Source organism: Homo sapiens, chromosome 14, assembly GCF_000001405.40.
Source record: "Homo sapiens chromosome 14, GRCh38.p14 Primary Assembly".
Classification (NCBI taxonomy): domain Eukaryota; kingdom Metazoa; phylum Chordata; class Mammalia; order Primates; family Hominidae; genus Homo; species Homo sapiens.
The window spans coordinates 54,895,357-54,908,198 of record NC_000014.9 but is presented as its reverse complement, the minus strand read 5'-3'; the positions used below and the strand labels follow the sequence as shown (position 1 = coordinate 54,908,198).

General features: G+C 46.5%; 1 protein-coding gene across 6 annotated transcripts in view, besides 4 other annotated features; it reads left to right on the top strand.

Moving 5' to 3' along the window:
* Positions 5,019-5,658: a silencer, noted in NCBI's record as "silent region_5776". NCBI's record gives its function as "represses an Ori minimal core promoter by ATAC-STARR-seq in GM12878 lymphoblastoid cells {active_cell/tissue: GM12878}" and the evidence as "EXISTENCE:reporter gene assay evidence [ECO:0000049][PMID:35858748]".
* Positions 5,373-12,842, top strand: part of GCH1 (GTP cyclohydrolase 1) — a 60,810-nt gene continuing 53,340 nt past the window's right edge. For all 6 annotated transcript variants that reach the window (NM_001424104.1, NM_001024071.2, NM_001024070.2 and 3 more), the window contains exon 1: positions 5,373-5,878. In NM_001424104.1, coding sequence (NP_001411033.1) covers positions 5,536-5,878 — 343 coding nt within the window. In that variant the 5' untranslated portion in view covers positions 5,373-5,535. The remainder of the gene's footprint in view (positions 5,879-12,842) is intronic.
* Positions 6,069-6,118: a silencer, noted in NCBI's record as "silent region_5775". NCBI's record gives its function as "represses an Ori minimal core promoter by ATAC-STARR-seq in GM12878 lymphoblastoid cells {active_cell/tissue: GM12878}" and the evidence as "EXISTENCE:reporter gene assay evidence [ECO:0000049][PMID:35858748]".
* Positions 6,129-6,188: a silencer, noted in NCBI's record as "silent region_5774". NCBI's record gives its function as "represses an Ori minimal core promoter by ATAC-STARR-seq in GM12878 lymphoblastoid cells {active_cell/tissue: GM12878}" and the evidence as "EXISTENCE:reporter gene assay evidence [ECO:0000049][PMID:35858748]".
* Positions 10,288-10,788: an enhancer, noted in NCBI's record as "H3K4me1 hESC enhancer chr14:55364129-55364629 (GRCh37/hg19 assembly coordinates)". NCBI's record gives its function as "activates a minimal SCP1, AML or CMV promoter by ChIP-STARR-seq in primed H9 embryonic stem cells {active_cell/tissue: H9 hESC(primed)}" and the evidence as "EXISTENCE:reporter gene assay evidence [ECO:0000049][PMID:30033119]".

Here is a 12,842-nt window from a genome sequence, read left to right as displayed (position 1 = left end):
CTGGGCTCAAGACTTCTCCAGCCTCAGCCTCCAGCATAGCTGGGACCACAGGTGGCTGTTACTGCACCTACCCGATGAGTTTATTTTTGTATATGTTGTGAGATAGAGGTTCAACTTCTTCCTTTTGTATGTAGATATCCAGTCGTCCTAGTATCATTTGTTGAAAAGAGTCTTCTTTCCCCATTAAATTGTCTTGGCATCCTTGTCAAAAATCAATCAAACATAAATGTAAGGATTAATACACTTGTGTGATATATTTGATTACATTCCCTCACATTCATTGAGTTCTTTACCTCAGGAACCCTAATTATCCTTACACTGGATCATCTTTGTCTTCTCTAATAGCTTTCATGTTTGTCTTTTGTTCTGTATTCACTCTCACGTCTTTCCTTATGTCAGCAATTACAGTTTCAGCAGTATCTACTTTGTACATGGTTCTTTCTAATTGATTCTATAATAATGATGGTCCTCAATTTATTTTGTTGATCCATAGCTCCCCTTTCAATTCTATTATTTTGGCTTTTGTCTTATTAAATTCATGATTTTTGTTTGTTTGTCTGTTTTTTTTAGACTGAGTCTCGCTCTGTTGCCCAGGCTGGAGTGCAGTGGCGTGATCTCAGCTTACTGCAACCTCTGCCTCCCAAGTTCAAGCCATTCTCCTGCCTCAGCCTCCCAAGTAGCTGAGATTACAGGTGCCCACCACGCTGGCTAATTTTTGTATTTTTAATACAGACAGCGTTTCACCATGTTTGCCAGGCTGGTCTCGAACTCCTGACCTCAGGTGATCTTCCTGCCTCAACCTCCCAAAGTGCTGGGATTACAGGCATGAGCCACTGCACCCAGCCTGAATTTATACTTTTATTGAGTTAGTCTCTGGCATCAAACATTCGTGAGGAATTTTCTTCTGTTCCATGAGATTTGCTTTCTTCTTAGTTGCATTATTTGCCTTTATGTCTCCTGCATGCCATATGATGTTCCCCCTTGGTTTTCTTTTGTTTTGTTTGGCTGGTGTGTGTTTGCACGGTTGCCATGCTGTTTCTCTGCCCCCTGCCCATGCTTGGGAGGCTGTTTCCTGACACTGCGTATCTCTGATATTGTTGAGACATCTTCAGGTTTTTCCATGATAACAGAAGCCCTTTTGTTTTCCTGACTCTGCTGCAGTCTGGAGCTTGAGGAGCTGTGTTGCATCCCTTCTTCTGGGGTAATGTGGAGGCAGGGACAGAGTTCAGCAGCGCTGAGGTGCACTTTCTATTAGCATCCCTCTTAGCATCTGCCTGTTCTTCTGAGATGGTATTGCAGATTCTCTACCAGGGACACATGTCTGTTAGGGTATCCTTTATGGGTACATTTAGGCTTTGGATGGCTTATTATACTCAATATGAGGCTCTTGGGCCTTTTTTTTTTTTGAGATGGAGTCTCGCTGTGTCATCCAGGCTGGGGTGCAGTGGCGTGATCTTGGCTCACTGGAACCTCTGCCTCCCAGATTCAAATGATTCTTCTGCCTCAGCCTCCTGAGTAGCTGGGACTACAGGTGCCTACCATCATGCCCGGCTAATTTTTGTATTTTTTATTAGAGACGGGGTTCCATCACGTTGGCCAGGCTATTCTTGAACTACTGACCTCAAATGATTCACCTGCCTTGGCCTTCCAAAGTGCTGGGATTACGGGCTTGGGTCACCATGCCCGGCCACCTTTTCTTTGTACCTTTCTACCTTGATCCAAAATCTCCTCCAGAGTTTGAATTTCAAGTATAGAGCCTCCATCAAGTTCACTTAAATTTGCTTTTTTCCAATTACTGTTGCCAAATACCCAATGTTAGTTTGTCTATTACCCTTGGTGTTTGGACAAATTGAAACTGTGGTTTTCTTCTGCTGTTATACCACAACAACAGTCAACACAGAAGACTCTGTGACCAAATGGGTGGGGGTTTTCTCCCACACACCAAGCAGGGGACATCAGCTAGGTGTCCTCCCTCTTATTTAATTCAATTCTGATTCTGCCTACCTGGAGATAGCTGTAGATCCCACAAGTTGAAGGCTCAGTCCCCAACACTGGCCCCTCCTTTCCACCACTCACAAGTCTGGGCCTCTGGAACTTTTGATTGACTGGCTTCAAGTTGGGGTTTCCACAACCCCCTCTTTGGGTTCAATTAATTTGCTAGAGTGACTCAAAGAACTCAGGGAAACACTTACGTTTACCAGTTTATTATGAAGGATATTACAAAAGATACAGATGAAAAGATGCATAGGGTGAGGTATGGGGTAAGAGGTATGGAGTTTCCATGCCCTCCCTGGGCACACCACCCTCCAGGAACCTCCACATATTCAGCTGTCCAAAACCTCCCTGAGCCCTGCCGTCTGGGCCTTTTATGTTCGTTGTATAGGCATGATTGAAGCATGGACAGCCGTGTCAAGGTGTGATTGACCTCTCTGTGCAGCCATGCTTCCTCCAGGGTATGAGGCAGGACCCTGTTTGCAATGAGGGTTTATGATCCGTAATCAGAAAGGCGGGAGATGATTAGAGTCCTGCCTTTAGTGAGTGGAAGGGGAGCAGAAGGTGAGAGAGAGAGAGAGAGAGAGAGAGAGAGAGATTGATTCTATTTTCTGAGGCCTAAAGTGCCCCAACATTGTAACAAAAGACTGTGAGTTATGAACCAGGTACTATGGCTGAAAACCTACATATACATGTATCATCATATCACACTTGGCAAACAACTCTTTGTACATTTCTGTAGCACTGCAGTGTTCAGTCTCTGACTTGGTGTGTCTTTCTCATCTGCCTCTTTGTTCTGCTGCTGTCCTAGAAATTAGAGACTTTAAAAAATTCCTTGGCTTTTTGGTAGAAAGAAACTCCCAGACTGGGTCCAAGCTGAAAATGAATCCCTTACTGGGTGAAAAACATGGATGCGGTAACAATTCCTGGCTGTAAATGCTCATAATATTACTGTTGAACCATTTTATGCTAATAAATTATCTGGGACCTACTTCCCTTTTGGTTTATTCCTCTTTTTTTCTCCTGTTGCTACTTATAACCATCCTTGTCAACTATCTACATTTTACTATTAAATTATTCATATAATGTTGGTGATTTCAAAGTTTTCTTGTATTATTTTTGGGCATTTGGCCGAAAGGCACTGCCTCCATTTTACAAGTTAGCATGTATCCAGAGGCCCTGTCCTGCAACAAAGGTGCAGGTGCCTCAGTGGCAATACGTGTAAGAAAATGTTAATTTTTAGGGTAAAAATTTCATTAGAAACTGTCTTTGTGGAATACAATATTAGTTAATCTTTACACATGTTTTTAAAGGAAGACGAAAGATTGCCACTAAAAATAAATTCGTACTGAAAGCATCTCTATCTACTCTCTCCATTTTTAAAGTACCTCACTTAGTATCTTTGTTTTCATTTGTTAAATGCAAGGTCATCCTTTGAATGTTGTCTTCAACTATGCTTGAAATAGCTTGAGACCCAGCAGATAATTCTGACCAGGAGGTATCAGCAGACAGTGGGCAGCACAGTTAGAGGAAAAAAATGTTGCAGGGCCCCACTCCCAATAAAAACCTACAATAAAAAATTTAAAAATTTTAATAAAGAGGAAAATGACAAAGAGGTTTTCCAAAGGATGTTCATATTCTCTATTTAAAAACCCCACTGGGCCGGGTACGGTGGCTCAGGCCTATAATCCTGAGCCCTGGAGTTCGAGACCAGCTTTGGCAACATGGTGAAACCTTATCTCTACCAAAAATACAAAAATTAGCCAGTCTCATAACCCGCTCTTAAATAAATAGATTAAAATTTAAAAATAAATAAATAAATAAATAAATAAATAAATAAATAACCCCACTGATATGAACATTTCTTCCATTTTGGAGTAAAGGTGCCTACAAGGCTAGGCAATGTCCATATTTCTTTCCTGAATGTTTCCAACGGGGCTGCGCCTAGAGCAGATGTATCATAAATACTAATTACTTATTATAATGACCAAGCTACATTGTTAGCATAGAATAATTCCACAGGCTTCCCTATTGGTTTGTTTGATCCTAAGCCTATTAATACCTGCTTCTATGTCAGAAAATCTACATTAGGCCAGGCATGGTGGCTCACACCTGTAATCCCAGCACTTTGGGAGGCCGAGGCAGGTGGATCACCTGAGGTCAGGAGTTCGAGACCAGCCTGGCCAACATGGCAAAACCCCACCTCTCCTAAAAATACAAAAATTTAGCCGGGCATGGTGGCAGGTGCCTGTAATCCCAGCTACTCAGGAGGCTGAGGCAGGAGAATCGTTTGAACCCAGGAGGCGGAGGATGAAGTGAGCCTCAAAAAAAAAAAAAGAAAAAAAATATTATTTTGATACATGTTTTAAAGCTCACCTTCGGCATTATGAGATAATCCCTCAAGTGAGGAAAAAGGTCCATTTATTAATCTCAAAGAAAACAGTTACAGCAGATGTCACTGGTTAAGAGTTCAGTTGGTGAATAGCATTTCACAATTTGTACCAACATCTGGGGAAAGACGCTTTGCATGGAACTGTAAAACAATTGAGCACCAAATCTGCACAACTGCGTTTCTAGAAAATGCGATGGGTTTTATAGAGATGAGGTCTTGCTATGTTTTCCAGGCTGGTCTCGAACTCTTGGCCTCAAGCGATCCTCCCGCCTCGGTCTCCCCAAGCGCCGGGAGTACAGGCGTGAGCCACCGACGGAAATGGATTTTAAGTGAAAGTCCTATCTTCGTTTGCAAATCAATTTTTCCAGGATCAAAGTTCTAGCAACCATAAATCCTATCCTTCTAGACATAGGGACCCACATAAGGGCCACTTGATGTGACACTTGCCCCGACAGCGGTGCCACCTGGCCCCTAGGTGGCAGGTGCGTTTTTAACTAAACCCAAGAGTCTGAAGTCACATTATTCTCTTGCCTTGAAAGCTTAAGAGTTGGTTCCTAATCGGTGGCTTAACTCGGTCTCTCTCCAGGCAAGGCCACCTGTTTGCTGATCTTTCACAGGGCGAGGGGACCGGAGCCCTTCAATGCAGCGCCCTCTTGGCCTGAAGAGGGGGCGACTGGGCGCCCAGACCGCGTCTTTCTCACTGAGATCCCAGCTCCTGGACGACTGCCTCTTTTCGGGTTCGGCTCATTCCGCAATAAGTGGAGGGGTCCCGCCTGATCCTAGGGGCCGGCGCCCTTTTCCTTCCCTCCCTGCGCTTGCGAACCCCTCCGGGCGTCTCCGGAGCCGCGACCCCTGCTGGGGACCCCGGGGGCGGGAGGCCGAGGGGCGCGGCGAGGGCCGTGACGCGAGGCGGGGCCGGCCAATGGGAGCGCTCCGCGGCGCAGGCTGAGCCGCCGGGCCATAAAAAGGAGGCGCGGCCGGGCTTTCCAGCCTGTGGCCGCTCCCGGCTCGGAGTGTGATCTAAGCAGGTTGCGTACCTTCCTCAGGTGACTCCGGCCACAGCCCATTGTCCGCGGCCACCGGCGGAGTTTAGCCGCAGACCTCGAAGCGCCCCGGGGTCCTTCCCGAACGGCAGCGGCTGCGGCGGGTCCATGGAGAAGGGCCCTGTGCGGGCACCGGCGGAGAAGCCGCGGGGCGCCAGGTGCAGCAATGGGTTCCCCGAGCGGGATCCGCCGCGGCCCGGGCCCAGCAGGCCGGCGGAGAAGCCCCCGCGGCCCGAGGCCAAGAGCGCGCAGCCCGCGGACGGCTGGAAGGGCGAGCGGCCCCGCAGCGAGGAGGATAACGAGCTGAACCTCCCTAACCTGGCAGCCGCCTACTCGTCCATCCTGAGCTCGCTGGGCGAGAACCCCCAGCGGCAAGGGCTGCTCAAGACGCCCTGGAGGGCGGCCTCGGCCATGCAGTTCTTCACCAAGGGCTACCAGGAGACCATCTCAGGTCAGTGCGCCCGCGGGCTGCTAGAGCGTGCGGGCGGCGGGGGCGGTGCTTGCAGGAAACGCGCGCCGGCTCCAGGAAGTTTCCGGAGTTGCCTCACTTTTGGCGCAGGAAGCCGGGCGCTGTCACCTCCGAACCCGCCCTAGCCTGCCGCCCTGCCGAGGCCCTGCGTGGGGCACAGTCGGGGCTTCCTGGGTGGCAGCGACCTCTCAGCCCCGGAACTCGCTGCAGCCGCCTTCCAGGGGCCCTTCCCGCTCCCAGCGCGCAGCCCTCCTAGAACGCCCCGGGTGGGCGTGGACGGGAGCCCGGAGCCCTCTCGCCTGAGCGCCCAGCGCGGGATTCTCGGGGTACCTGCGGTTCCAAACTTGCCCACGATAAGGATCACCTGGGCACTTGCTGCGGCGACGGCTTCCTGGGTAGTTCCTTATTGAGATCCCATTGTCAGGGTGTGTATCTGGATTGAAGCCTCGGCGCGATCCTTCCCCGAAACCTCGGGGACCTGCATTCCCACTGATTTGCCAGGGGATCGGAGTCTTAGAGTTGTGCTTTTTTTTTTGTCCACCTCAAGTTTACTCCAGTTCAGGACATTTACAAAATTCGGCACAATTTTGGGCACGGGCTTCCCCGGAGTTTGAGGTGTGAGGTTGATTGGGTGAGTTTGCTGCTGAAATCTGTTTCCTCCCCCCACCCCCAACCCCGCAAAAAGCAGTAAAGCTACTCCGGGATTCGGAGGGCTCCGTGGGTTCCAGGACTCAGTCTCATCCCCGCACCCTCCCACCCTAAAATAAAGCCGGGTTGACCCGGTGCTGTTAGCGTCTGAGGCGTGTCGGCTTTTCACCCAGAGGGTGGGGATGCAATCAGTGTGGGTAGGATGCAAGATGGGGTGATGGAGAGTGGAAAATGGGGACTTTGCTGCCTGTTGGCCAGAGAAGCAGTATTGGTCTGTGTTTAAAAAAATAAAGCTTCTGGCTTCTACAGCTGGGACCAAAGACATTATTTTCCAGTCTACACCTTCCGTGTGTCTTGGTGACATTTATTTATTTGCCCTAAGAAGCATTCTACCGTTCACTGTTTTTTGAAAGAAAAACAGTGCGCTGGAAAGGCAATCTCCCTGCCCCAGTTATTTCTCTGAAGGAGTGTAGAGCGATTCCACCAAATAGACCCTGGGAAAAAGAAAGTTATTTTTTGCCCAGTCTTCCACACCCCAAAGGAAGGGTGGGAAATCAGAATGTGAAAGAGACGGGGCCCCAAAAGGAAATGATGCTACACTCTAAAACCGGCAGTGACTTCTAGTTCTGTTTCCAAATTCACTTTTTTTTACCCCTCAATTGCAAAAGTTTGGAATCTCAGAAGAGATTTCAAAATACAAAGACTGAAAAATAAACTTTCAGTTTTCTGTGGGATCAGCTCTTTGGAGGTCTAGGGCTTTAAATTTGTGTGTGTGTGTGTGTGTGTGTGTGTGTGTGTGTGTGTGTGTGAGATATTTCACAATGTAATGAAATGTCTTCTTAAGGCCTTACTCATTTTGCCCCTTGCAGACACAGAAAGTGGTTTACTTCACAGCATCGGCCAGGCTTTGGGAATCCTCCCTTAAAGAGAATTCATAGGACAGTGTTCTGTAATCTAGCATGGATCTAATTACCCAAAGAGAGAGGAATTTCTGACCCTGAGACAGGTCACAGAATTATCTAAAGTGACTCACAGATTTACTTGAGAAATGGTTAGCTGAAATATCTCATGAGCGAAGATTCATTTAAAGAGGATTAATAACTGCAAAGAACACATCATTCCACATTAGAAAACTGTTCTGGTTGGCCGAGCTCGGTGCTCACGCCTGTAATCCCAGCACTTTGGGAGGCCGAGGTGGGCGGATCACCTGAGGTCAGGAGTTCAAGACCAGCCCGGTCAACATGGCGAAACCCCGTCTCTACTAAAGATACAAAAAAATTAGCCGGGTGTGATGGCGGGCGCCTGTAGTCCCAGCTACTCGGGAGGCTGAGGCAGGAGAATCACTTGAACCCAGGAGGAGGAGGTTGCAGTGAGCCGAGATTGCACCACTGCACTCCAGCCTGGACGACAGAGGGAGACTCTGTCTCCAGAAAAAACAAAAAAAACAAAAAAACTGTTCTGGTCAAGTTTTACTATTTAAAAAGTCCATGGGCCGGGCGCGGTGGCTCACACCTGTAATCCCAGCACTTTGGGAGGCCGAGGCGGGCGGATCACCTGAGGTCAGGAGTTCGAGACCAGCCTGGCCAACATGGGAAAACCCATTCTCTACCAAAAATACAAAAATTAGCCGGGCATGGTGTCAGGTGCCTGTAATCCCAGCTACTCAGGAAGCTGAGGTAGGAGAATCATTTGAACCCTGGAGGCGGAGGTTGCAGTGAGCCGAGATCGCACCATTACACTCCAGCCTGGGCAACAAGAACTAAACTCCATTTCAAAAAAAAAAAAAGTCCATGGATGTAGAGACACTGCAAGATTAGTAGTTGTCAGGGACTGGCGAGAAGAGGGGGATGGGTAGTGATTGTTTAATGAGTATGGAGCTTCCTTTGGAGCTTCCTTTTGGAGTCATGAAAATGTTCTGGAACTAGAGAGTGGTGATAGTTGCACAATATTGTGAATGCCACTGGATTGTAACTTCAAGATGGCTAAAAATGACCAATTTTATATATATTTTACCACAATATAAAGACAGGTTTTGTGGCGTGCCTGCAGTCCCAGCTACTAGGGAGGCTGAGGCAGGAGGATAGTTGTTGCTCAGGAGAACAGCCTGGGCAACGTGGGGAGACCCTGTTTCAGAAAAGAAAAGTCCATGGAGCGGACCATTTAAGATTATTATTATTATGTTTATTTTCATGTTTTTGAGACAGGGTTTGGCTCTGCTGCCTAGGCTGGAGTGCAGTGGCGCAATCTCGGCTCACTGCAGTCTCACTCTGCTGGACTCAAGTGATCCCACCTCAGCCTCCTGAATAGCTGGAACTACAGGCTTGTGCCACCATGCCCTGCTAATTTTTGTATTTTTGATAGAGACGGGTTTTTGCCATGTTGCCCGGGCTGGTCTTGAACTCCTGAGCTCAAGGGATCTGCCTGCCTTGGCTTCCCAGAGTGCTAGGATTACAGGTGTGAGCCACCATACCCAGCCCATTTAAGATTATTATAAGCCATTAATTGAATATAATCATGCATTACATTATGATGTTTCCTTCAATGATGGACCACATGTATGAAGGTGGTTTATAAGATTACAATGGAGCTGAAAAATTCACATTGTCTGGTGATGTCTTGGTGATCCTGACCTGTGTAGGCCTAGAGTAATGTGTTTGTTTGTGTCTTAGTTTTTTCCTCTCGTCTCCCCCATGTCTTAGTTTTTAACAAAATTTAAAAATTAAGAAAATTGGGCCAGGCATGGTGGCTCACACCTGTAATCCCAGCACTTTGGGAGGCCAAGGTGGGCGGATTACTTGAGGTTAGGAGTTAGAAAGAGACCAGCCTGGCCAACATGTTGAAACCCCATCTCTACTAAACATGTAAAAATTAGCCAGATGTGGTGGCGCATACCTGTAGTCACAGCTACTTGGAAGGCTGAGGCAGGAGAATCACTTGAACCCAGAAGGTGGAGGTTGCAGTGAGCCGAGATTGCACCAATGCACTGCAGCCTGGTTGACAGAGTGAGACTCCGTCTCAACAGTAAATAAATAAATAAAAATAAAAATTAAAATTAAAAATAGAAAAAGGTATAGAACAAGGATATAAAATATTTTTGCACAGCTGTACAATGTGTTTTTGTTTTAAGCTGTGTTATTACAAAAGAGTCAAAGTTTTAAATACATTAAGCTGAAATTATTGAAGAAAAAATATGTTTAGTGTAGCCCAAGTGTACAGTGTTTATAAAGTTTACAGTAGTGTACAGTAATGTCCTAGGCCTTCACATTCACTTACCATGCATTCACTGACTCACCCAGAGCAACTTCCAATCCTGCAAGCTCCTTTCATGGTAAGTGCCCTACACAGACATACCATCTTAAGTCTTTTCTACTATATTTTTACTGTACCTTTTCTATGTTTAGATGTCTTTCTAAAATTATTATTATTTGTATTTTAAATATAGAGGCAGGGTCTCACTGTTTTGCCCAGGCTGGTCTCGAACTCCTGGGCTCAAGTGATCCTCTCCTCTTGGTCTCCCAAAGTGCTGGGATTACAGGCATGAGCTATCCCACCTGGCCTACATATCTTTAAATACACAAATACCATTGTGTTACAGTTGCCTGCAGCATTCATTACAGTAACATGCCATACAGGTTTGTAGCCTAGGAATAATAGGCTCTACCGTGTAGCCTAGGTGTGTAATAGGCTATCTCATCTAGGTTTGTGTTAGCACTCTCTTCCTTCAGTGTTTGCGATATGAAACTGCATTTCTCAGGTGTTTCTCAGAATGTATCCCCATTGTTAAGCAATGCATGACCGTACTTTTTAATGGGTTAAAAGCTTTACGTTGGATGGTCTTGGTTCATCTTCCAGTTTTCAAGTAAACATTTCTCTTATCCCCATGACAAGGCAACTGAGGCAGAGAGGTTGACACAAGTAGTAGAGCTGGTATTTGAATCCAGAGAGTCTGACTGCAGAATTCTTAGCCACTTCCTTATACTGCTACAGAGAGAACTGAATCAGTGTACCCTATCTGTATATTTCAAACTGTGAATTGGGTCAACAGCATTAAAAAAAAAAGTGGAGTAGCCGGGCGCGGTGGCTCACGCCTGTAATCCCAGCACTTTGGGAGGCCGAGGCGGGTGGATCACCTGAGGTTGGGAGTTCGAGACCAACCTGACTAACATGGAGAAACCCCTTCTCTACTAAAAATACAAAAATTAGCCAGGTGTGGTGGTGCATGCCTGTAATCCCAGCTACTTGGGAGGCTGAAGCAGGAGAATTGCTTGAACCCAGGAGGCGGAAATTGCAGTGAGCCAAGATTGCACCATTGCACTCCAGCCTGGGCAACAAGAGCGAAACTCAGTCTCAGAAAAAAAAAGTGAGTAGAGGTTGGGCACGGGGGCTCAAGTCTGTAATCCCAGCACTTTGGGAGGCTGAGGTGGGCAAATAACGAGGTCAAGAGATCAAGAACCCCGTCTCTACTAAAAATACAAAAATTAGCTGGGTGTGGTGGTGCGTGCCTGTAGTCCCAGCTACTTGGGAGGCTGAGGCAGGAGAATCACTTGAACCCGGGAGGCGGAGGTTGCAGTGAGCCGAGATTGTGCCACTGCACTCCAGCCTGGCGACAGAGCAAGACTCCATCTCAAAAAAAAAAAAAAAAAACAAAAAGTGGAGTAGAATGGATAAGATCAGTCTATCACATATAGTAAGGACAAGTGTTTTGAGAAACTTCTTCTTTTGTTTTTTTTTTTTTTGAGATGAAGTCTCACTCTGTAGCCCAGGCTGGAGTGCAGTGGCGCGATCTGGGCTCACTGCAAGCTCGGTCTCCCGGTTCACACCATTCTCCTGCCTCAGCCTCCTGAGTAGCTGGGATTACAGGCGCCCGCTACCACACCCGGCTAATTTTTTTTTTTTGTATTTTTTTAGTAGAGATGGGGTTTCACCGTGTTAGCCAGGATGGTCTTGATCTCCTGACTTTGTGATCCGCCCGCCTCGGCCTCCCAAAGTGCTGGGATTACAGGCGTGAGCCACCGCTCCCGGCCGAGAAACTTCTATGTAGGTTTTATAGGCATAATTGTGTGTGTGTGCACTGGCTCCAGATGTAAAATGCATTTCTTACTGTAGGTTGTAGTCAAAAGTTTGAAAGCCTGTATCTAGGGGATCTGTTTAAGGATTTAATATTTCTTTTTTTTTTTTAAAGAGATATATAATTAAAGAGAAGACAGAGTAGTGAGAACAAGGATGATGCTGAACTTAAAGGAATGAACCTGAAATGTGGTGGGGTCTTGGACCAACCTGGATGGCAGGGAGAAGGAAGGATACTGGTGGGAGATAGGAGTGAGTGGGAACCCACATCTTTAGGTCCATAAACGCTTCTGCACAATCCCTTTTATTTCTTTAGAGAGCATGAGTCAAGTGGCCACTATATATTGTTTTTGGATAAGAACATACTTCTCTGAAGGTCACTTTTCTGTGCTTGTAAACAGGATACAGGACTTTATATCTTTTATATATCTGTATTCTATATATTAACTCCTGGTTAGTAATGTTGACTTAAGTGTTGTAAAATTTAAAATAAGTTGGTATTTTACATTCTTCAAAATCCATTTTTCCTCCCAGTGCCTCTTGTGTGGATTGATCCAAATTCCTGGCATTCTGGGGAATTTGTTCAGTTTTCCCTACGTTGCAGCGTCTCTCCATGACTGTCTCCTTGTGCACCTTTTCCCTACTTTCCAGTGTGTACCTTCCATGGGAGCATCTGTGGTCATCTGTGACCAGGGTGGTGTCAGGGTTGTATAGGTTTCCTAGTACTATTCCCTACTGGACTGTAGCTCATGGGCTAGGAGGGAGGGCTGGAGGAGACGCTATCATCTCTCCCAGGAACTGGCTGTCCTTTGAATCTACATCACAAGCTGATCCTTGGACCAGCTCAGACCAGCTCGTCTTGATCTATTTCTGTGCCATTTCAGTTTAGCTGTATCCTAGTTCTCTTAAATATTCAAGGTTTTATCTTGGTGAGTTCTCCTTTCTATATAAGGTACCTTTCCTGTATTTCCACTATTCTTTTATTCAGAACCTACACTTAGTTAAATTGGAGAGTCTGCTATTCTCTGAGGGCCTTGATCTTCATGCCCCTGTAACTGACCCTTCCAGGTATACATGGGAACAGCCTTTCAGACAGCATTATCTACCAAGGATTAAATGGGTATAACTTGTTCCATCAGTTGTTTTTTATGAGTTTTTGGGAATATGCAAGAGTCTTGACTCTGTCACATTTCCAGTTAAAGTAGGTTTTAGCTTGTCTGCCAAGACAGTT